The 24,672-nt window shown below is 38.2% G+C and overlaps 1 long non-coding RNA gene across 6 annotated transcripts in view, besides 1 other annotated feature; it reads right to left on the bottom strand.

The window, feature by feature from the left end:
- LOC105370604 (uncharacterized) overlaps window positions 1-23,591 on the bottom strand; it is a 46,058-nt gene extending 22,467 nt beyond the window's left edge. The window contains exons 1-4 of one of the 6 annotated variants that reach the window (XR_944101.3): window positions 22,164-23,591; window positions 21,109-21,152; window positions 20,196-20,318; window positions 986-1,491 (exon numbers count right to left, since the gene is read on the bottom strand). This is a non-coding gene — a long non-coding RNA (uncharacterized LOC105370604). Of the gene's footprint in view, window positions 1-985; window positions 1,492-17,816; window positions 18,445-20,195; window positions 20,336-21,108; window positions 21,153-22,163 lie in introns of those variants that run through there. The other 5 variants (XR_944100.2, XR_944103.2, XR_944102.1 and 2 more) reach the window with 5 other exon arrangements.
- Window positions 7,660-8,198: an enhancer, noted in NCBI's record as "OCT4-NANOG hESC enhancer chr14:85645115-85645653 (GRCh37/hg19 assembly coordinates)". NCBI's record gives its function as "activates a minimal SCP1, AML or CMV promoter by ChIP-STARR-seq in primed H9 embryonic stem cells {active_cell/tissue: H9 hESC(primed)}" and the evidence as "EXISTENCE:reporter gene assay evidence [ECO:0000049][PMID:30033119]".
- Window positions 23,592-24,672: the final 1,081 nt, after the last annotated feature.

Below are 24,672 nucleotides of genomic sequence, written 5' to 3' on the forward strand. Positions count from 1 at the left end.
CTGTAGTAATATTTAATCAAGTTAATTTAGAGATTCACTACATAGACTTCTATTTAGGAGGCTAAACTACTGGCCCAGATAATTGAGAAGAATTTCTACCTTTAAATTTCTTCTCTTTTAAATTTAAACAGGTACTGGCTTCTTGAAATAAACTTTATTGTCTTTCTAAAACCGAAACTAGAAATTCTTAGATCATTTAAAACCACCATTTCAACTGTGAGCGATCGCAGAATTATCCCGGTACCATTCAGAATTGACACGCATCACTGAAGTTTGGGACTGTGTCATGGAAAAGAAGCTTGTCCCCAGCTACCACCTGCAATCAATCACTTTTCTCATTTTGGTTTAAATTACCAGTAGAAATAGCATTTTTAAAAATTTCAACTGATCTTCATATCTTGATATTCTCAATGTAGTCATTGTCTTTTCTGTATCCTAACTCTGTTTAGAACAAGTTGGATTTTCTGCCAACTGGTTGATTAACTTAAAAATCCTGAAATACCACTGTTTTTCAAATTTGTGTTTCATGTTTTCATTTCTAATTTACTATTGAATAATTTTTTCCCACTGACTTCTAACAGTTCCTAGGCACTGACAAACTTTGTTGACATTTTAAATCTTTGGTCAATTGTTTTATTCTATCTACTTCTAAAAAAAAGAAAAAAGAGAGAGAGACAGAGCAGAATACTACTCTGGAAAACAGATCATTTTATTTCTAATATATACTGTTCTGCTTTACATGAGCCACCTTTCTTATACTTCTCTTCTGCACTCAAACTGTATCTAACATCCTGCTGTCTATTTAGTTTTTACCATTGACCTGGCAGAAAATCCTCATAGGAACAAAAGATTTGTCATGTTGGATCAGATTCATGTTTCATCCCAGTCCACATTGTTTCTCTTACTAGAGCTAAATGATACTTTATCTTGAGAAAAAAAAAAAAAAATGAGGCTTAGGGAATACAGGATATCTTTTAATATGTAAAAGACTCTCATACAATAGATAGAATATGTTCATTCCATGATAGTGGAGAGCTGGTCAAAATACAAGTTACAGGGAGCCAATTTTTATTTGATAGTAAAGAAGAACAACAAGAGCTTTAAGAAATGCACTGTGCTGCCTCTGAAAATACAATTTGTCATGACTAAAGTTTTAAGCCCACTTGGATAGACTGCTTTTCAGAGATCTTTGCATGTACGTTCAGACTGTAAGTTAGTCTGAACAGGGATCCTGCCCAGCTCTTGTTTCTGCTTGTCTGTGCTCTTCTCATTTTGTCTAACCATATCTCATATCTCTCCATGTGGTAGAGAACTTGGTTGCTGCAGGCCCAGGCATAACAATCCAGTGGAGAGAGTATTTCTTTTTGCCATTGGATGTTCATATTTCACTTCAGGTAAAGCCCTCAGGCCCTACTTGGTTCTTGAGCTCCCGTCTTGAATCAGTTGCTATTGTCAGGTGGATGATTGGCTAACATTGGTCCATACCTGTGGCTTAGAAGGAAGAGGTGAGGCTGTGATTGGGAGACTACTGACAACATGGCTCATGGAAAGCAGGTGCTAGGCAGATAAAAACAACATAAACCAACACAGAGAGATCAGACTAATATTATTTCCACATAGATTTGAAAAATTAAAATTAAAAATATTTTTTCCTTAAGAACTAGTAAATAAAAAATTGCTCTTTCCAAACAGCCACAAGAATTCAGACACACTACTAGAATTTGATTTCAAATTACTCAAGTTTGAGCAAACACAGAACAGACTGAGCCCTCTTATTATATACCCAATGCCAGTTGCTGCCAGTATTTAATAATATTTGTCTACAACATTTTAGTCTGAGAAAGAATTCCCATCTTTCTTTTATCTAAACTCCTTTAAAAACTGCTTTAAAGCTTTTACTTCTCTGTGTGTCACAGGTGTGCTGGAGGCAGGCTTAAGACTGAAAGCCTCTCTCTAAAACTGTCAACTCCTGCTTTGCTCAAACCTGCTGACCCTGGGCCAACATAGAGAGGGGGGGGGGAAAAAAAAAAAAGCAAGCCATCTGATTATTTTGGTTTTCTCCACCAGGAAATATAGCACTTTGCCTTCAAATTAACAAATGATTAATCAAGACATAGCACTATTTGTGAGAGTTTAGGGTTTTGGCTGACACTGAGTAGACTAAGAATTGGAAATGACCCAGTACTAGAAAGCTTGACTTCAATGTCCCAGGATTTCTGGTAAGTGGCCAGGTTGAGTGAAGGACAGAGTAGATGAGAAAACTAGAAAAAAAATAAAGACTGTTGAGTATTCAGGAGCTCAGTTTTTGATTGAGTAGTTTCTTGACAGATTTGCTAAAGGGGACGTTTTAGAGCAAAGTTCCAAATTAGCTTTCAGTGAAAAGTGCCAAAGTTTGTATTTAAGATATACAAGAGCTACCAAATGTGTTAACAGTTTCAAAGGTATCAAGAAAATATTAGCAATATGGAATAGCGGTGGATTACTTTATTTTTATGGTTGATAATGGTGTCAGAAAAATACAGGAAGCTTTGTGAATGTAAAAATCCAGTTATCCAAGAAACATAATTTGTTTACTGCCTTTGGATTCAGCTCCTAATAGAAGAAACTGTTAATCCATTAAAATATTATCTTTTACACTTGGCAATAGATAAATACATAAACCTTCTTAGGTTCTTTTTCTTGCTATTCACTAATAGTTTTATATTTCTGAGTTTGTGGTAAATGCAGGTTAGATGGGGGCGAGGTGAAGTAAGTATGATGTCCATGCAAAGTAAGCATTATTATTTGTTTATTGACTAAAAATATTCAATAATTAGTATTTTATCTTTTCAAAAAAGCTGACATTTTATGGCAAAATTTGTGGTTTTGGTGGGAAGGTTTTGGATTGTTGTTTTAGAAGGCACATGATAATGGTCTAGGACTCTATACAGGCAAAATTTTTGAACAATTCTATTTTTTTAAATACTAATTCAATATTATTCAGGTACTATGAAATTCCCACAGGAGCTTCAGTGCTCCACTTTTTCGTTAGGGTAAGCCTTTAAAAAATGGCTTTAAACACATTTAAGAGTGAGTCATATACAGAACCCTATAAATGGTCTGTCTCTTAGTATTTTGCACTGATCTGACCCAGGTTACCCAGGGCTTCACCCTTGCATTGTAGGGTAACTTGGAAATCTCTGGAGATGTGGCTTTTGTACAGATCAGGATATGCTATATATCAAAACTGCCAAATATAGTTTCTCTGATCCTAGGGTTTCATTCTACTAGAATGCGGGTAAAGAAAACCTTGATTTACAGTCTCAGAAATGTGGAGGGCTCCCAGGGAACAGAGTGGCTTATGCCAGACCCTCTGACCTACAGCTGGACCTCGTTTAGGCAAACAGACTATAACATTTGCAAATGGACAATGATCATGAGATGTTCCATACTCTTTGTATTTTTTTAAAATGATATTAAGATTTTGATACCCTCTAACATCAATGAGGAGTCATAAAGTTAACTTTAACTGGAAACTACTGAAAGGTTGAAAAAAGTGATTCCAAATATTTATATCTAAATTTACCTTAATATTTTGCCATAGTTGAGTGTATAGCTCCCTGAATTCAGATTAATAAACAAAGCATTACTAGCACCCTGGAAATCCTCTGTTTTAGTTAGGGTTCTCCAGAGAAACAGAAACAATAGGATGTGGGTACATTCTTTACATTTATAAAGAGATTTATTGAAGGAACTGGTTCATGCAGTTATGTAGGCTGACAAGTCCTAAGATCTTCAGGCTGAGTCTTCTAGACCAAGGAGAGCTAATGGTGTGGTTGCAGGCCAAAGGCCAGCAGGCTCCAGATCCAGGACTAACTGATGTTTCACTTCAATTCCCAAAGTAGGACAAAGCTGGTGTCCCAGTTCAAATGAAGTCAGGCAGGAGCAATTCACTATTTCTCAGAGGAGGGTCAGACTTTTTGTTTGTTTGTTTGTTTGTTTAATTTAGGCTTTCAACTGATTGGATGAGGCTCACCCACTTCAGGGTGGGCAATCTGCTTTACTCAGCTTACTGATTTAAATGTTAATCTCATCCATAACCACCCTTATAGAAATACCCCATATAATGTTGGGCCATTTATATGGGCACCCCATGTCCCAGTCAAGTTGACACATGAAATTATCTATTACACCCCCTCAGCGTAAATGCATAAACACACACATACACACACACACACACACCCCACCCCCCACACACACCCCTACCTTACAGTATCTACATTTTTTTGTTTGATCTTTTTCACTCAACAGTATACTTGTGAGTTGTTGCAGTCATTTTATTATTAGTTCTGTACCCTATTTCATTTTGGGGAAATATACCAAAATATACTTATCTCATTTTACTATTAATGAGCATTTGGGGAGTTTGCAATTTGTGCTGCTCATACTTTTTTTTTTTTTTGGTTGACCATCTATGGAAATTTCTATAGGCATATACTTAGGGATGGAATTGCTGGGCTATGACAGTTGATTATGATCAGCATTAGTATATCTTCTGTAAACAGACCATTCAGTCCAGGAAAACTTCCATATTGGATGATGTAGCAGAATTTCCAGGATGTCTAAGTTTCTGTTGCTCAATCCTCTTACCAAGAAAATATGTGCATGAGGATAATGCCAAAGATTACAGAACAGATGCTCATCTCCCTGGATTATCAATTTTTATGTCATAAAGACCTCAGATACCAAAGCCCACAGGCCAATGCACTTATTTGGAGGTTGTTAAACTGATATCATATGTTTATGCAGGAATATCGCCAATTTGTGGTCCTTTGCATTTTTTGACTAATTCAATAGGGTTATTTTTTTCTAACTGCTTTAAGAATTCAAAATTTATATAAGTACTATTCAGTGTCAGAAATTTAGAAAATATAGATAAAATGAAATGAACGTTAAAAATCTTCTGTGAATTTATAAATTAAAACTTTAATCATCTTGAAGCCCTTAAATGGCCAAGGGATATATCCCTTGCCTCAAACTATACTTCTGGTTCCTTAGCATGGACCTTTATGATATGACCTCTGCCTTAATGTTTTTCATTTATGGCCTCATTCTCTGTGAACCACTTCTATTTCTAGGACTATTTCAGGCTATTTCTCATTCTGGGTATTGAACACCAACCTTCTCCCCTTCCTGTGAGAGGGTATTACAAGCCCTATTTTACAAGACAGAAAAGAATCAGAGAGAATAAGTCACTAGCAAGCATCACACAGGAGAGCCAAGTTCCAACCCACATCTCTCTCTTTCCATGCTGAATTATTTAGCCATTCTTCTCCATTACTCTTACTGTCCCTGGTAAAGACTTCTCTGGCCTCCCAAAATTGTATAAGACATTTTTTCTTTGTGTTCCAATAGCCACCTGTGCACATAATCTTAATACATTCACTTCCTTGCTTAAAGTGTTACCATCATTTCATTTTAAGCTGCATGAGGGTAGGCTCTGCCTTCTTGACAGAAATCTCAAATAGCTGCCATTCATCATCTCATCTTGTGGTTTTGCTTTTTCTATGCTCTTTACTCTCTGAAAATTATATCAATGGCATGTTTACTTGTTTATTATCTGTTATGCAGGCTCCTCACTGACTGGGGATTTTGCTGGCCTGCACACCACTGTTTCCCCAGCACTCACAGATGTGCTGGGCACATGGCAGACCCCAGAGAATAATTAAAATGAATAAATAATGGGCACTAATATATTTAATGGGTAAACACACTATGCACATTTATATTTGTACTCTTTACGAGGGCCCTAGATTTCATCCTCATGCAAATAAATCATTGAAGGGATGGGATTTACATGGTTGTTTACCTTTTCTAAAAAGAAAAGGGCGGTAGTCCCCATGCTGTCCAGAGGCCATACTGAATGCTTATTTTTGTGAGTCTGAGATATGAGTGTCTTTCTTGACATTAAAATATTAATTATTAATGTAATTATCCTTGAATAATGCTCAGTGGAAACATGTATTAGTCTGCTCGGGCTGCCACAATAAGATACAACTGGGTGCCTTAAACAACAGAATTTTACTTACTTATAGTTCTGGAGGCCACAAGTCCTCGAAAGAGGTCCAGCAAGGTTGGTTCCTGGCCAGAGCTTTCTTTCTGGCTTGCAGACAATCCCCTGATCACTTTGTCCCCACATGACCTTCCCATATGCATGGAAAGAAAGCAAAGGAGCTCTCTGGTGTCTCTTCTTTAAGGTGGCTAATCTAATTGAAGCAGGCCCCACCCTGTTGACCTCATTTCACCTTAATTACCTCCTTATGGATCCTGTCTCTAAATATAGCCATATTTAGGGTTTAGGGTTCAATATAAACATTTGGATAGAACACAATTTATTCCATAGTCGAAGGCATACTATTGCAATCTGTCAGGCATTCCAGTTGTGATAAAATCCTTCCTTCTTGAGCTAAGTACAGGCATTTCATGTGAAAAATCTTGTCTAAGAGACATTTGAAGGATTGTTTGATGTGTTAGAAGCTCTTTCAGTATTAATCTGCTTCAAGTACTCCTGCATGTCTGCCTATTGCCCCAAATCACTGGGTAATATGGGAGGTAGAATTTGTGGTCTTCTATGAAAGATGGAGATTTAACGAGCCCCAGAAAATTAGTCATTTCAACCATGTCGTGGAGGAAAGTGATGAAATAGACATTTCTGGGTGGAATGGCATAATTGATTTCCCTGAAATTGCTTACTGAGGCTATTGATCAACAATAATAAAGGGAAGGGAGTAGGACTGTTGGCTTAGGTAGGATGCTGAAATCATCTCTTTATTTAAAGCATTTTGCAACTAATAAGACCTTCTTTAGAAAATAGAAGGTTGTAAAAAACAACAACACTTACAAACACCCATTCTCAGCAGTACAATATTGTTCCATTGTAATCATCTTTATTTCATGACAAGGTTATTTATCACAACTTTGCTTTCCAGCCAATAAAGCAAGGCCAAAATAATGTTAAATTGTTGTTTTTCCTCGAGGAAATAAGAACAATGAAACAAGATAAAAGTATTTCATCTATCTTGAGTTGTCAAATTATTTTCTACCATTTTTAGAATTTTAATAAAATATTTTAAATATGTTATCCTGTTATCTAGAGTGATTAATTTATCAATTCTCTTTCTCTTTGGAATACTAGTCTGTTCTCCCCTAGATTTTTAATAATACTAAATTTGTATGGAATTTAAATGTTTGATAGTATACATACTGTGAATTTTATATTTTTATGATTCTTTTAAGCATTTAACACTTACTGAATGCCTATTAAGTCCCTTGTATTGTATTGGGATATTCACAGGTAATATCTTATCCCTACATGCATGACAAGCCATTAAAAAAAAAAAAGTACTAAATCATTTACAAGACAGCAAAAGAAATTCATATTTAGGTATAAACAAAGTAACATTTAAATTACTATAATGGATTGAAATAACAGAGAAGTCTTCACAGATGAGGTGATATTTGAGCTGAGTGTAGAGGAAGAATAAGATTTCACTATGCTATAAAGGTTTGGAAGAATATTTAAAATTGGTGGTATTAAGGCATGAATTCCTGAAAGAGAATAATACACCCAAAGTGAATATAATGGCTTACAGAGGAACTTGAATGAGTAGGGAGTGGCAGATGAGATTTGTAAGAAATCAGAATCTGCCACCCCAAAATATATCTCTTTGGCATAAGGATTATTTTGAATTGATTATTTTGAGAAACTACAGACAGGAGAAGCTCTGAATATAGAGTAGAAGTTACTCTTTGGTAAAAGAAATTTACATTTAGAAAGAAAATCTCCATTTGTAACGATGTCTCCCTCTCTGTACCAGGAAAGAAGAATGACTAAATCACTAGAGACTCTTACCAATAGAGAAAGCTCTTAAATCTGCATAACAAACCTTACCCTTGTTTGCCCTGCTTTTCCTGGTCACCTCCCCATCACTGGCTCCCACAACACCCTTCTTTCTTTGTTTCGGGGAACAATGGTAATACAAGGTTGAGTTCAAAGCTGCTTCTCTGAAATGCACTGACTTCTCTGGGTATCACCAATGTATACATGAGGTATACATGTCATTAAACTTGTTTGTTTTTCTGTGGTTAACCTGTCTTTTGTTAAAGGGTTTCATCCCAACTAATAAATATGAGTGTTGGGGAAAGAATTATTTGCTTTCTCCCTTACAAATCCAAACAGTAATTAGATGAAAGGCTGTGAAACGTCTTAAATGCCATGTAAATGAGTTTAAATTTTATTCAATAGACCAGGAGAAATAACTGATGAATTTTTTAAGTATGGGTAATCAACCATGTTTCATATAATCTTTAAATGCTAAAATAAAACTTTAGCTTTAATTTTAAAAAGTGTGTTGGTGGGGTGCTTGTGGGAAGGAGAAAGAAAGCGGAAAGAAAAGTCAGGTGGTGAGTGTGGTCCTTCACATGAGAGATAATGAAGGACAGTTATTCCAAATGTAAAAGTACAAATGTTAGAGTAGGCAAATGTGAGCAGGGCAGGAGAGGTCCCACCGAAAGAATGTCAGGCAAATACAGAAGTGTTGGGCTCTTGGCTAAACTTCACCCTCAAGCCTGGAACTTTGGCCCTGGAACCTCAGCTCTATGGGAACTGCTGACCCATATACTGAAGGGCTGGGCTCCCAGCTAAACTCTACCTCAAGCCTGGACTCTCAGCCCTAAATGAAAGCATCTGACCCTATTTTTCCTACCCAAATGATTGGCTTTTTGGCCTGCCCCACTCCCTATCCTGTGCCCATAAAAACACAGGCAGCTGATGCAAGTGGTCAGGGATGCAAGCTGCTGAATCTCAGGGATTCAAGCTGCTGAGTGCTGGGGATACAAGCAGATGAGTGGTAAGTAGAGAAGGAATTGAGGGTCAGTGACTACACATAACATGGCTCACTTCAGATGGCGCAGTTTCACAAGGGAGCCTAGCCAGAGACAGCTGGGCTTCAGGGAAAGATCACCTTCTTCCTGCACCATCCCCTTTCTAGCTCCCCTTTCACCAAGAGCCGCTTCCACTGCTCAATAAAGTCTTCTGCATTCATCATCTTTTAAACAGTTCCTATGACCTGACTCTTCCTGGACACTGAACAAGAACTCAGGCGTCATAAATGGCAGTTGCAAGAGGCAATCAGCCTGACCCTTCACTGAGCTGTTAACACTTAGCTGTCCATAGACTGCAAGCTGAGTTAAATGAGCCACTCTAGTTCCTGCCCACGGAGGGGGTCAAGGTCAAGGGAACACATACCATCTCAAGTCAACCATTAGGTAATGGTCATGCAGTTGTTAAGCTATCTCTCTAAAATAATAATTGGTCACATCTGGCATCAAGGAAAATCAGTCTCCCAATAGACAGAAAACACCTGAAGCTGGTGATCAGCAGCTTCCCAGTAAGATCGCAGGATTTGGGCAAGTGGGTCCAAAGCATGTGCACTAATAAGCAAAATGGCAGAGTTTAACTGGTATATGACCTTTCTCTAGGAACACTCGATTGGTAAGGGGAAAAATCCCTCAAGTGAGCATGTGCACTACTTCAGTAAACACACCATGCATGCACTCCCCTCTTAAGTGTTGGCAGGCTACTGCACATGCGGACAGCCTGCCCCAAGGAAAAATCAAGGGAGGAGAGATGCAAAACTCCCGAAGCATGCCAATGTATAAAACCCCAAGTCTAAGGTCAAACAGGGCACTTGGATTGCTCAAGTCGCCTGCTTGGCCCTGTTCTTTTCTTTCGTTCCTGCTCTAAAACTTTTTTAATAAACTTTCACTGCTTCTCTAAAACTTGCCTTTATCTTTCACTGTGCATTATGCCCCACAGATGAATTCTTTCCTCTGAGTAGGCAAGAATCAAGTTGCTGCAGACCCATAAGGATTTGCTGCTGCTAACATAAAGACCCCAGAAGACTTGCCAGAACTGTTATTCTCAGAGTCAGCCAAAAAAATCTGAAATATGAGACAAATAGTTGAATTTTCCTAGGAAATATATCCCAGCATTGCTGCAGGACTTACAAATATTGTACAGTGAGGCTGCTAGACTGGCAGTTCTCTCTAACCACCAAATATCCCAGATCCATAGTTCTCACTCATTAGGATATATCAGAATCACCTGGAGTTGTTGTTACAACTCAAGTTTCTGGACCTCACCACCAGAATTTCTGATTCAGTAGCTCTGGGTGGAACCTGAAAACTTGTCTTATTAAAAAATACCCAGGTGACGCTGATGCTACTCTAGCGATCACACTTTGAGAGCCACTAATAAGCAAAACATGGAAAATGGGAAACTATATATTTTTTCAAAAGTCATATACTTTAACAAAATATAGCGATGTTTTAGAAGAATGGTCTTCATAATTTTTTAGTAGAATAAAATAATGAAATATAAACATTCAAAAATAGAGGATTTATTAAGAGAATAAGGTAGCTAAGATTTAATAACATGTAATCATAAAGTATTATAATATTTAAATAAAGGACAAAATAGGATAGTTTACAAAATAGGATAGAATCTATGAGCTCTTTGAAGTAAAAACCTGTTTCTGTTTACATATATGTACAAATATAGACACATAACTAGAACAAAGAACCAGAAAGATGTATCTCAACATGTTAATAGTAGCCATCTCCCGTGTGGTGGGATTATGAGTTATATTCATTATTTTCTTTAGACTTCATATATATTTTCCTAGCATGTCAATAAATATAACACATTTGGGGTTAACAAAGATATGTTTTAATATTTATGCAGGGGATGGCTTTGGATTATTAGCTTCTTTTGGAAGGGAGGTAAGCAAAAGACAAGCATCTTACATCAAAAGTACTAGCTCATCAGGACATAGAACTAGTTCTATTCTAATGAATAGAACTCATTAGTTCTTTTTCTGCCATTTTAGGGATTCTGATGCAGAAAGACCTGAGCCAATAAGGAACACCCCTCTTTGTGTTTAATTGACCATTCATCCAAGCAGCAGAATGAAATCCCAAGGGAAGACCTTACAATCACAAATGCATGTTAGCCATGAGGAGCTTACATTAATGCCCAGAGAAAGTGGAAACACTCAAGGAAGAGGCTAAAGCCATAGGAAATAGGAAACCAAGCTCCCTGAAGGAAGAGAGAGAGGCATGGGAGAGAGAAAGGAAAAGCCAAGCAACGAAATCCTGGGGGAGATTTAAGGTTCTTGTGGCACTTCAAATTATGTTAGCTTTCCTTTCACACAAGATTGAATTTAGCTGCCAAGAATGAATCTACTATTTCTTTCTTTCTTTCTTTCAAAATAACATTAAATTTATTTCAACAGGCTGTCTGAGCTACTCTGTTTTGTTATGAGCTGATGAAAATACATCATCAGCCAACGACAGACCCTGCCTTTCCCTCACTCCAATTTAAGGCCTGAGTACAAGCAGCTGCAGTATTCCTGTCAAAAGTCAGGCGCGTCAATGGCAAGTCTTCTTCTACTAAGATTAAAACTTGGCCTCTATTCCTGCAGCCCAGAGTCACCCATCAGGAAAGGTGAGATCTCTTACCACCTTTCTCAGTGAAGAGCCATTCATTCCATCAGGGAGGTATGGTAATATCCTCGAAGCCAGACACAGGAGGACTCTGATCTCATCTGTCCCTACAGGGTTATCAGAACCAGACTTAATCTGAACTTGACCGAAAAACTGTGGAGAAGAGTAATTGTTGCTTATGACTCATTACCTGAACTGCACTTTTCTTGTGCAGGACTTTAGCAGCAGGAATTTTCCCAAAATGCTATATCCTTCTCCCTATGACTGTTATCATATGGCATTAGTGTAGTCTGATCTAACAAAATCTGTAGCAAAATGCTGTATATGAACTGTCTGCTTTAGAAATCTAGGTGAGGTGAACAGCAAATAATTGAGCCCCACTCTCTGCCCACTATATCTGAATTTCTGGTAATAGGGCCAGATAATCTAGAATTTGAAAAGACACCCCAGGAGATTCTGATGCAACTACATTCTAACTACTGCTGACAAAATGATTAAGAACCTAAGTGTCCAATTCAGACAATTTTACAGCTTGCTTTTTTTCATGAATTTGGAAAAATTACTCCTTTAGAAACTTAATTTTCTTATCTATAAAACTGGGATGAAAATACCTGAATTCCTACTAAAATGCTTGGCTTTCAACTGTATATAAACCACTCAAGCACATAGTAAGTCAGTAAGTGTTAGTTATTGTTATTTACTGTGATAAGATCATTTTCTTTATGTGCATAGCAGCTGGGTGAAAAAATGATGGACATTGGAGAAAACCAGAGTTCAGCTTTGATCTTTGATAAGTATGCTTAAAGATACCGGGACAAGTTTTGTTTTAGTTTAGTTTTTTTTTTTTTTTAATGTATTGATTTTGTGCCTAATATGTGACAGGTAATATTCTAAATCCTTGATAGATAATGAAGAATGACATAAATAATTTGCTTACTGTCATGGTATTCCTCACCTACTGAAGAAATAAGCAAATTGCAAAACACACAAACGCACATAATGGAATAGTTTCAGATATGAAGTCTATGAGGCAAATAAAGCAAATATTTGGATAGAAGATACAAAAGTTAGGTAAAAGATAACTTTGGATAAGGTAGCCCCAAGCATTTTGTAAGGAGGTCACATTTGAGCAGATCTCCAATGATAAAAAGGAGGTAGCTATGTGGACTTTGGTAAGTGTAATAAACATGGCTTAACATTAAGGATGGTAAACTTCATCACTTGGATAAGGTATATTTGCCAGGTATCCACATTGCAAAGTGACTGTTTTCCCACATCTATATTCTTGTAGCAATGACTGACTAAGCCCTGCTCACTTTCTTCCAGCCGTATTATTCCAGAAGATGCCTCATTCAAATGACAAACAGGCAAGGATAGTTTAAGAAGAAAAGGGTTGGGTGGAAACCTATAGGACAAAATTTCCATCCTGAAATGCTCTTTGGATAATCTTAAATTCAGGGAAGATATTGACTGAATTATCATTACTGAACCCCAGACAAGCTATTTCCTAATCCAGTTGAGGCTTGCTAAAGTAGAAATCCTTGTCATTCTTAAGGCTTATTTCTTCCTATCAATCCAAGTGAAATCATACATTCCACCGGCTAAGCATATACTTAGGACACAGTTGGATAAACCACAGATATGGTTGTTGTCACAGGTGCAATGCCACCAGACATCACCTGCATGCATAGCAGAAACCAGGACAGACAAAGAAGAATGGAGCAAAATCCACATAAACCAAACTCTAATCATGAGTGTGATTCCATTTGTTCTTTTTTACTCCCAGGCCAGTCCTACAATTCTGAAATATTTTGGATAGCTTTTTTCCCCTCAACTATTGAATTATGTTTTCAAAGTACTAGGTCAGTAGTTCTCAAACTTTAGAGTGTATTGGAATCCACTGAAAGGTATGTTAAAGCAGGTTGTCTGGCCCCACCTTAGAGCTTCTGATTCAGCAGTTTTGGGGTAGGACCCAAGAAGTTGCATTTCTACCAAGTTTCCAGGTGATATTGATACTGCTAGTACAAGAACTACTCTTTAATAACCATTGTCCTAGATGAATCATTTGGTTCTAAGTCTTTTAATTTAAAAAACAAAGACTCTGGCCGGGTGTGGTGGCTCATGCCTGTAATCCCAGCACTTTGGGAGGCTGAGGAAGGTGGATCACGAGGTCAAGAGATCGAGACCATCCTGGCCAACATGGTGAAAACCCATCTCTACTAAAAATACAAAAATTAGCTGGGTGTGGTGGCACATGCCTGTAGTCCCAGCTACTCGAGAGGCTGAGGCAGGAGAATCTCTTGAAACCAGGAGGCGGAGGTTGCAAGGAGCCGAGATTGTGCCACTGCACTCCAGCCTGGTGACAGAGCGAGACTCCGTCCCAAAAAAACAAAAACAAAAAAAAAACAAAAAAAAATGAAGACTCCGATATTGGTGTTTTTTATGAGTTTAAGTTTTCATAGGTTATAGTTTGAAAAAAAGAGATATGTGTGGCTGGATTATACTGGAGTCTGTGTGTAGTAAAAGCCCAGTAGCCCAGCATCAAATCTGTACAACTCTTAAGGTTGACCCAGAATCTGAGTTAACCATGGGGGTAGATGGGGCCTATGCTGAAATTGCTTTGCTTTTCAACTTCTTCCTCTACTCAACCCTGCTCCCCTTCATTTCTCCAAAGGAATGACTCTTAAGAGTACACCTCAGTAAAATCCCTGCATGCACATATCTACCTCAGCTTCTTAACTGGGGAATAAAAACTGCTCAACACTTGAATTGATGGTGTCAGTTTTGTATGCGTCCATTGGTTAGTTTTAAAAGTTGCACAGAGTCTAAATTCTTGCAGCTCTGAGATGTGGCAATTGGTTTTAGTAAAATACTATATAAACTCATGTTCGTAGAAAATCCCAGTTTGAGTTGAAACAGTCGAAGTCAAAATTCTATTAGGCTGGTGCAAAAGTAATTGCGGTTTTGCCATTAAAATTAGTGGCAAAAACAGCAATTACTTTTGCACCAACCTAATAGATGATAGCATTATTTTTGCTCATATTATATCTCCTGACAAAAGTAAATAGATTTAGCATATCACTAAACTACTCCCCTCCACTACTTGACTTCATACTGTATAAAGATTTGGCCAGTTTAATAGTTCTTTCTGGTTTAAAAAAAAACAAATTTGGTGGCAAACTGTTACATTATATATTAGGCAAATAGATAATTTTAAGAATATATATATATACACACATAAAGCATATTTATATCTATATATATACATAAAATATATATACACATAAAGCATATATATATCTATATATATAAATATACATAAAACATTTTACTGTTCTGAACAACCCTTGGTATGTAAATGCCTCCCCCTAGTACATACACTTAACTATTCATTCAGCTGGAGAACTTAGTGTGTGTTTTTTAATTGCATTCATATTTATAGCTTGCCTTTCAAAGTTACTTTGGTCTATTAAAATTCTGTTTTATATGCTTGCCAACGTGACCTGTGTGTGACCACAAACCTCCCTAGAGAGGGAGTTTACCTCTGCTGTTCTTTCCTCTTTTTCATTTTTTCCCTGAAAGCAGGTGTCACATCTGTCACGACTTGGCCCAGTAGACTGTGCTAATTAACTTATAAATTACGTCCATGTGGCATTGCCTCTCTCCTGTGAGGCAGTCCTAGTTGTTTGTTATGCTACGTCGGAACAGGGTTAAAGAGGGCCACCGATTTTGCATAATCGCCGACCTAAATGTTTGGACACTGGAGAGCTTGTACTGTGTTTCTTTGTATTCCCCACTGTGTTTTTCCATAACTGGGGGTCCATGTGTACTCGTTGAATGATATGACTAGTTGAGGGAAGTATCTTTGAACACATTGTACAGGGTGGTTTAGGGAGCAAAAGAGGTCAGTTGTAAGCAAGATCACAGGAAACATGTAATCACTGATGATATAGGGAACAGAAATTCGACTTTTTCCCTTTTGCCACGCAAATTTGACCACTATGTGTCCAATCCTTTAGCACTTTGCTAAGAGCCCTTTAGCACTTCGCCCTGAGTTGGGTTGTAGCATTACAATGAAGGCATGTACCCTAGGCGAATGTTTAGTATTTGAGAATTATTACTGCATTTCTCCTTCAAAGGAACAGATTCTTTAGCATGGTATTGGCCATAGGATAGAACGCTGTGAGAGACACCAAATTGGGCCACTTAATTGTCTTTGCTGTTCTAGTGGAATCAGTATGCATTTATATATTTCATCCAAGTACTCACATCAACCTGTTGAATGCAACCTAATAGCAATCCACAGTATGACTCTACAAATGGCCAATTGAATCTTGAAGTTCGACTTTTGGGGAAAAAGTAGGTAACCCTTATGTCAGTTTCAATAAGTATGATAAACTTATTCTAGAATGAAGGAAGCTTAGCTCTTTTTCTCCAGATTGCTTTCTTTGTAACACTTATTTAGAAAAAGGATTATGAAATGCCAAGGGAAGGCAAATATTAAATCATTTCTAAAATGGCTATGTATTAACATTTGTAACCAGTAGCTACAAATTAATATCTTGTAGTCTAAGTTAACATTGAAAAAAAGAAGGCATAAGTACAGCAATTATTCTCTTATTGTACCAGGAAAACAGTATACTGGTCTTTATATACCATTTGTACTAATTGAATCCAGGCAATATTGCAGAAATAATCAGCCAATATGCAAATACTCAAAGAGCCTACCTAACTCCATTTGGATTTAATAATAATTTATTTGAGAATCAACTCTTTTTCTGCCCTGATATTTTTCAATGCTTGTTGAATTAATCTTTTAGGAAGGAATTAACATATGTAGATAGAAGTATTCATCAAGGCTAATTTTGAAACCTTGTCATATTTGACAAGATTTCTATCAATTAAGTTGTCTATCAATCAAAGGTAACCCCAAAATCTAGTGACATTAAGTTATAAAAGCCACCAATCTAATCCACCTTATTTAGCAAATTCTTATAGTGTACGACATTAAAAAAAAAGTACAGGTAGTACAGTAGAGTGTAATCTGAGCTGAGCCAGGAAACAGCTCTATAAACAAAAATGAATCACCCACACTCTCTAAGGCTCTATTTCATTTCAGAATTGGGTATAATAATAGCTACTGCAAGTTTGTTGACTTATTTTGGGGAATTAATATAATAAAGCATTTCAAATATTGGAACCAGATGTATGAATTTATACTAATATAAGTCTCTGCCAATCTACCAATTTTATAGTTTTCAAACCAGGGAATTTTATCATCTACAAAAATACACATTTTATAAAGTTTTACTTTTAGACATTTTTTGCACACGTATTTCCTTACAATCATACTTGGTATGATTTTGTTCTGTGTAGACACCCAAATCTTATCTCAAACTGTAATCCCCTGTGTCAAGGGAGGGACCTGGTGGGAGGTGATTGGATCATAGGGGCGGTTTCCCCCATGCTGTTCTCATGATAGTGAATGAGTTTTATAAATGGCATTTTCCCCTGCATACTCTCTCTGCTGCCACCTTGGGAAGAAGGTACTTGCTTGTCTTCACCTTCTGCCATAATTCCAACTTTCCTGAGGTCTCCCCAGCCATGCAGAACTGTGAGTCAATTAAACCTCTTTCTTTTATGAATTTCCCAGTCTTGAGTATTTCTTTATAGCAATGTGAAAACGGACTAATACAATAATTTCTTTTCCTAAAGATTTTCCCTACTTAACAGTGAGTATCCCTGATGCTCTTGATGAGTTTGTGGTAAACAGGCAGTAGGGTTTGATCTTCAATGATAACTCAATAATTTGAAATTGACTTTATTGCATAAACTATATAAATCTTAGTGCTCTAAATATTTTTAACATCTTGATGACTTTGAAAATATAATATTGAATCTACTTACTCCACCAAATTAAATCTTTACTATATTATTATTCCAGTGATCATGTTCACACTAAAATGTGTCTATGGGACTTTATATACTTCATTTTTTGCAATTTCTAAGTCCATAAGTGTTTCAAAAGGGAAAGTTTTAGAAATAAAACAACAAAATAATTAAGGTAAAAACTCAATCACCTAACAGTGGCTACCATTTTGAAATGAAGATCAGCAGTATAAACTAGTAAAAATGTTAAATTATTAAATATTTTAATAAATTACAATTATGTTGTTTTTTAGTATACTCAATAATATTCTTAAGTAGAAGACTTTGGAACATCCTTTAATTAGAATGTAAGGATATGAGGGAGAGTTGCAGTGACATGTCACCTCATTGATCTCCAGGGTTGATTCAGCTGATCTGGCTGGTTAGGCAAGTGTTCCCTTCCTTCCTCACCTCTCCATGTGCATGCCTCTCAAAGCTGCATGTTTGGTTGAAGAGGATGACCATCCCTGACAGAGGAGGGCTGGTGTTCACTCAAGGGTATACAAGTAGCTCCGCTTCCCTGCTAGAACTTTCAAACAAGCTCTCATAATTAGAATCTAAGAATGTTACTGATATTGCCAGGTTATCAAGTGAAGCTTCCTGGAGTGGGTCATCAAAGTAAGCCAATTTGTCTTATGGAATATAAATAAACATTTGAAAGTAGTTGTTTATGTTTAGCTTGTTTAATTTTAACAAGTTTTGTCTTGGTGAATCCCTGAGATTTGGAGGCAATAGAGAGAGAAGTACTCTTTTTCTTTCATCTTTATTTTCTCGTAACATGCCCATTTCTCTAGTTGTCTCCTCTTTACATCGTTAGTGATGAAGAATTACTAGGAGTTACTCATGAGTTACTATGATCTTCATGACTGAATATGGCGTGCACGTACTTGAAAATGGAATAATGCCTTAGTGGCATGTTTTGGCACAATTCCTAGTGCAAAAGGATGCCAAGTGTAACGTTTCTTATTGTCTCTGAAAAACAAAACAAGAAATGCCAAGTATTCACCCATTCCAAAGCGAGGTGTTAGCTCATGTAGGCATGGAAGGGAGCTTTTCATTCTATTATTAAAATTAAGGTTGGACAAAACCAGTATATATGGTCACCCTACATTATTAAAAACTAATTTTGCAGCCTTTGCTTATCTTCAGTGTTGCAGATGTTATAAAGGGTGAACACTGTACCATTTAAAGGCTGAGAGATTAGAGAGAGAAGACCACTCGGAGACAGAATTACTAATGTGCTTTCAGTCTCCTGCCACTTAGTAGATGAAGGTAAGACATGTGCTACTCCTTTACGTTAAGCCAAGAGAAATAGAAAGAGGTAAACAGGTGTCAAGGTAACTGATTTGAATGTCTTGCTGGTGTCCCCTGAGGAAACTGGTGTCTGATCATCGCTGGAAGAAACCTAAAAGAAGAAGTTGGTTATAACTTGAAGATCCAAGAGCAAAAGGTACGCTAGAGCAAGTTGTCATCCAAAGACAGCAGAACAAGGGCCATGTTTCCAATAAACCAGGTATAAGTGCCAGCGAAGGCAAATGAAACCCCATCCTAACAGAAGATAGGCCCCTAAAACCCCAGGGCCAGCACTGTGGGGACACTTAAAATTGGCTAGCCAGACAATTTCTGGCTTATGTCAAAAGAACCAACAGGAGGATTCCTATGGGGATACACCAGTAATCCATAAAAGCATCCACCACCCACTGACAGCGATGAAAATGGTACTGGTCATGTATGACCTTTTCTGCTTTTTCTCTCATCTCTGAACCCCTGCTTCCCAACCCTGTGGAAACCTATGGCAGTTAGTGAACGGAAGAGAAGATTAAATGAGGGGAGACAGAAGAAGCCAACCATGCATCCTCTCGTAGAGCAAATTCCAAGGATTAAGTTGGCTTAGCCCAGTGCTTGGCACATAGAAGACATTCCATCAATGTTAACTGAATACATTCTTCTTTCATTCTTCATCCGTTTTGTCTTTGTTGGATGCTTTGCCTCTATATGATTTTTCATCGTTAATGTTATTTTTGTTATCCTCATCCTTTTTTATTTGAAAAGAGGGAATAATGCCAGTAAAATTATTGAGTCTTCTTAGAACATCATTGTCTGCCTCTCTGACTATCTAAAACTGGATGAAATACCACAAAAGCCTGAAATGTCATGAGAAGGCCAAGTTTCAATGAGAAGCACTGAATCAAAGAACTGTGAGTTGGGATGGAAGGATCAAGGAATGAAGGTGCCTGTAGATCCTATATAATTAGGCTATCGCTCCCTGGCAAACAGCTTGTCAGAGGTGAGGTGCTGAGCAAGGATGCTTATGGGCAGGTAGGAACAGTGGTGGCCCTGATTCTGTTGCAACTTAACCTGATAACAAAGTTAAGCAACTTAACCTGATGATGAACTATGACCTGAAACTTCTCTCCTTCATCCTCTGTGTTTCTTTTCCCAGCTCAATTCCACCCCTCAAAGTATCTTAGCTAAGACAATATTTAAATGTATTACCTGAGGGAGGAAACGGGGCCAAAGGAAATGTTGGCAGGGCCAGGGCCAGGGCCTGGGCCAGCATGGTTATTTGGTTCTAAATCTATTAATACAAGGAAGATTGACATAGACCAGCAGGGCCTCGGTCTCCTCACAGAACTGTGAGTCTTTAAATTATGCTTTAAATTATGCTGTTTACCTCTTTCTATTTCTCTTGGCTTAACGTAAAGGAGTAGCACATGTCTTACCTTCATCTACTAAGTGGCAGGAGACTGAAAGCACATTAGTAATTCTGACTCCGAGTGGTCTTCTCTCTCTAATCTCTCAGCCTTTAAATGGTACAGTGTTCACCCTTTACAACATCTGCAACACTGAAGATAAGCAAAGGCTGCAAAATTAGTTTTTAATAATGTAGGGTGACCATATATCCTGGTTTTGTCCAACCTTAATTTTAATAATAGAATGAAAAGCTCCCTTCCATGCCTACATGAGCTAACACCTCGCTTTGGAATGGGTGAATACTTGGCATTTCTTGTTTTGTTTTTCAGAGACAATAAGAAACGTTACACTTGGCATCCTTTTGCACTAGGAATTGTGCCAAAACATGCCACTAGATGCAGAGCTAAAAGATGATACACTGGCTCATGCCTGAAATCCCAGCAGTTTCGGAGGCCGAGGTGGGCAGATCATGAGGTCAGGAGTTCGAGACCAGCCTGACAAACATGGTGAAACCCCATCTCTACTAAAAATACAAAAATGAGCTGGGCGTGGTGGCATGCACCTGTAATCCCAGCTACTCAGGAGGCTGAGGCAGGAGAATAGCATGAACCTGGGAGGCAGAGGTTGCAGTCAGCCAAGATTGCGCCACTGCACTCCAGCCTAGGTGACAGAGATAGACTCCATCTTAAGAAAAAAAAATGATACACAGGGGAACAATGTTAACTATATAAGTACCAGCAATCATTTGGAAGTGCTTGTTGGTCTCACTTATCATAGATTTAATAGCCAGAAAAAAATTTAACAAGAAATAGTTTTAAATTCCTTTTTCAGATGTTAGGCATAACAAGACAGGTCTCAAGACAGGTGGTTTGGTATAATGACTAAGAGCTTGGGTTCTGGATGCAGACTGCCTGGGCTCAGGTCCAGGCTTGCTTCACTTACTCTGTGTCCTTGAGGAAGTGGCTATCCTCTCTGAGCTTTATTATCTACAACAGTAAACAGAGATAATCATACTGTTACAAATCACATAGGGTTTTGTAAGAAATTAATTGGGTAACAGAGTTAAGTGCTAGGACTCAGTAATCACTAGTTCTAATCATTACTTAAAATTCAATCATTATTTTAACAATATACTATAGTGGTACTATATTTGCTCTTTGTACTATGTCTAGTGGTTAAGAAAATATATCGGCCGGGTGCAGTGGCTCACACCTGTAATCTCAGCACATTGGGAGGCCAAGGCGGGTGGATCACGATGTCAGGAGTTCAAGACCATCCTGGCCAACGTGGTGAAGCCCTGTCTCTACTAAAAATACAAAAAAATAAGCCGGGTGTGATGGTGGGTGCCTGTTAATCCCAGCTACTTGGGAGGCTGAGGCAGGAGAATCGCTTGAACCCAGGAGGCAGAAGTTGCAGTGAGCCGAGATCGCGCCACTGCACTCCAGTCTGCGTGAGAGAGTGAGAGTCTGTCTAAAAAAAAAAAAAAATCATTTGTCAAAATTCACAGCAAAACCCTTCTTCATAAACCAATTCCAGGAAGCAATACAGTAATGGATCTTCCTAAAACCTGAAGTTATTGGGATAGTAATTCCTTTCTTAAACTCTAGGTAAGACTTATCCCAATTTAGAGCTTTGTAAAAAAAAAAACTTAAAATTCATTCCACTTTTTGTCCTTAGTAAAAGAACCCTGATTTTTCACTAGTTATTTTACGCCCAAATGAAGATCTACATTTCCCAGCCTCTCTTGTAGTAACAGCTGGACAAGAAGTAGTAAGCAGAAGCTGTTGGGTGAAACTAGGCAGGAAGGCTCCTCAAGTGAATGGACAGATGATTTGGGCATTTTTGCCCCCTCTTATTATCCTGTTCCTGCCTCTCTGCCTGGAACTTTGTTGTGAGAGTTGGAGGGTCAACAGCCACAAAGTAACAGTAAGGATTGAAGCCATGCTTGAAGAATGATAGAAAAGACAAGAAGTTGCCTGAACATGAAGTCACCATACCTGATCTTGACTCTGTTCTTTCAAATTCCTTTTATGTGAGAGAGAAACAAATGACTCTCTTGTTTAAGTCACTGCAATTTCTGAATTCTAGGAGCCAATGCAATTGATGTAAGCATTTTACGCACATTTTATGTGTGATGTCACAACGGAAGCTGGCTTGGGTGTAAAACATAACTTTCTGATTGGGCAGGAGAGGAACAAGCTAAGGGATGGGACTGAGCTACAGTGGCTCATGTAAGACACAGTTGCAAAGGGCCTAATCAGTTCCTCATGACATCGTAATCTAGGCAACCAGGAAATATGCAGAAGACAGGCACGCAGTAGCAATAGTTGCTGAAAATGTGACGCTACCTAAAAAGCCTGCTGTCAAAGAATAGAACTTTGCTGGGATATGGTGGATTAAAGATGGCCACAAATTATTTGAGATACCTCCCTTTACGGAGAGGGGCCTATGTTTTTTCCTCTTGAATGTGGGCAGGCTCTTTGACTACTTTAACTGATAGGATGCAGCACAAATGATGTCTCAGTTCCAGGTCTTAGCCTTAAGAGACTGGTAGCTTTTACTTCCTGACTCTGAGAAGACTTTTATTCTTGGAGCCCCAAGCTGCCATGTAGGAAATCTATCTACTCCTCTAAAGATATCATGTGGGAAGGTTATAGATGACATGGAGAAGGAAGGGGCCCAGCCCAGCCATTCAGCCAGGCAGCCATCTCTGGCAATGTGCCTGGCAACTAAATCATGCTACCTTAGACCCACCAGGCTAGCTCAGCTGCCAGCTAAATACCAAGTCAAGACCACGTGGAGAAGAAGAATTGCCCAGCCAAGCCCTACCTAATCTCCTAACCCAGAAACTCATGAAATATAATAAAATGGTTGTTGTTTTAAGCCACTGAGATTTGGGGATACTTATAATGCAGTAACAAAACTGTAACATGGGGTAAGTGAACCACCAAGAGCTAAGGCTTAAGACAGGACCCTGGATATCACTGAAAAAAACAGAAAACTAGTAAAACTAATTTGGTGGTATAATTCTGTTTGGGTCAATTGGACTGGAAAAGTGCATTTTAATTTTGTGGATACATTGTTTTTCAGTTAGTTAGCCTAAAAGGCACCAGAGCCCACCAAGGAAAGCATATATAAATAAGTACATAAAAGAAACACAAGAACCCAACATAAGAATCCAGTATCTGAGAATATGATAATGACAAGACCACAGACCCCAGAAAGGAAATTCTACAAGATATGAGTGAAGAAATGAGAAAAGCCTGCACTGGTCGATGGAAGCCATTAGTAGAATCAGCTGTAGAAACCCCAAAAGGGCTGAGGCAGGAAATAAGAGGCAACTGTTTAAGTATAAGAGATGGAACGAAGCTGGGTGAGGTGGCTCACACCTGTAATCCCAACACTTTGGGAGGCCGAGTTGGGCAGATCACTTGAGCCCAGGAGTTTGAGACAAGCCTGGGCAAAGTGGTGATACCCTGTCTCTACAAACAAAACAAAACAAACAAACAAGAAAAACAGAAATTAACCAGGCATGTTTTCACACACCTGTAGTTCCAACTACTTGGGTGGCTGAAGTGAGAGGATCTCTTGAGCCTGAGAGGTGGAGATTGGAATGATCCATGTTTGTGCTACTGCACTCTAGCCTGACCAACAGAGCAAGACCCTGCCTCCAAAAGAGAGAAAGAGAGATGTAGATGGAATGTATCAGCAAATTAATTGTAAAGGTAAAGTTTACATTAGTAAGATTTAAGTTAATCTTGGTGATGTAATTTGGATATTTGTCCCCTCTCAAATCTCATGTTGAATTGTAATCTCCAGTGTTGGAGGTGGGGGCTTGTGGGAGGTGTTTGAATCATGGGGGCAGATTCCTCACAAATGTCTTGGGCCATCCCCTTAGTGATAAATGAGCTCTTGCCTTCAGTTCATAGAAGACCTGATCATTTTAAAAAGTGTGTGGCACCTCCTCACCACTCTCTCTCGCTCCTGTTCTCACTACGTGATATGCCCTGCTCGCCCTTTGCCTTCTGTCATGATTGGAAGCTTCCTGAAACCTCCCCACAAGCAGATGCCATTATGCTTCCTGTATAGCCTGCAGAATCATGAGCCAATTAAATCTTTTTACTTATAAATTACCCAGTCTCAGGTATTTCTTTATAGCAGTGCAAAAACAGCCTAATACTTGGCAACGAGGTAATGACTTCGTTTTATTTAAATCACTCAGTGACAAAGGATTTACTAGGGTTCTTCTGTCAGACAGGCCTCCTTCACTTTATAAATACATGCCTTCATTAATTAATCTAAGCCTTAGTTTCCTCATCTACAAAATATCCCCTTACTCCTGCCTCAAAAAAATTAAATACATTAATAATAAAAGCTTTTAGCCAGTACCTAATACACAGTAAATTGTCAGTAAATATTAACATTTTCTTAAAAATAATGGCATTCAAATGACCATGGGATGAGTGCCCCAGAGGAGTTTTGTGCAGGAGAGGGAAAGAGAGTTGA

Source organism: Homo sapiens, chromosome 14 (assembly GCF_000001405.40).
Source record: "Homo sapiens chromosome 14, GRCh38.p14 Primary Assembly".
Taxonomy (NCBI): Eukaryota; Metazoa; Chordata; class Mammalia; order Primates; family Hominidae; genus Homo; species Homo sapiens.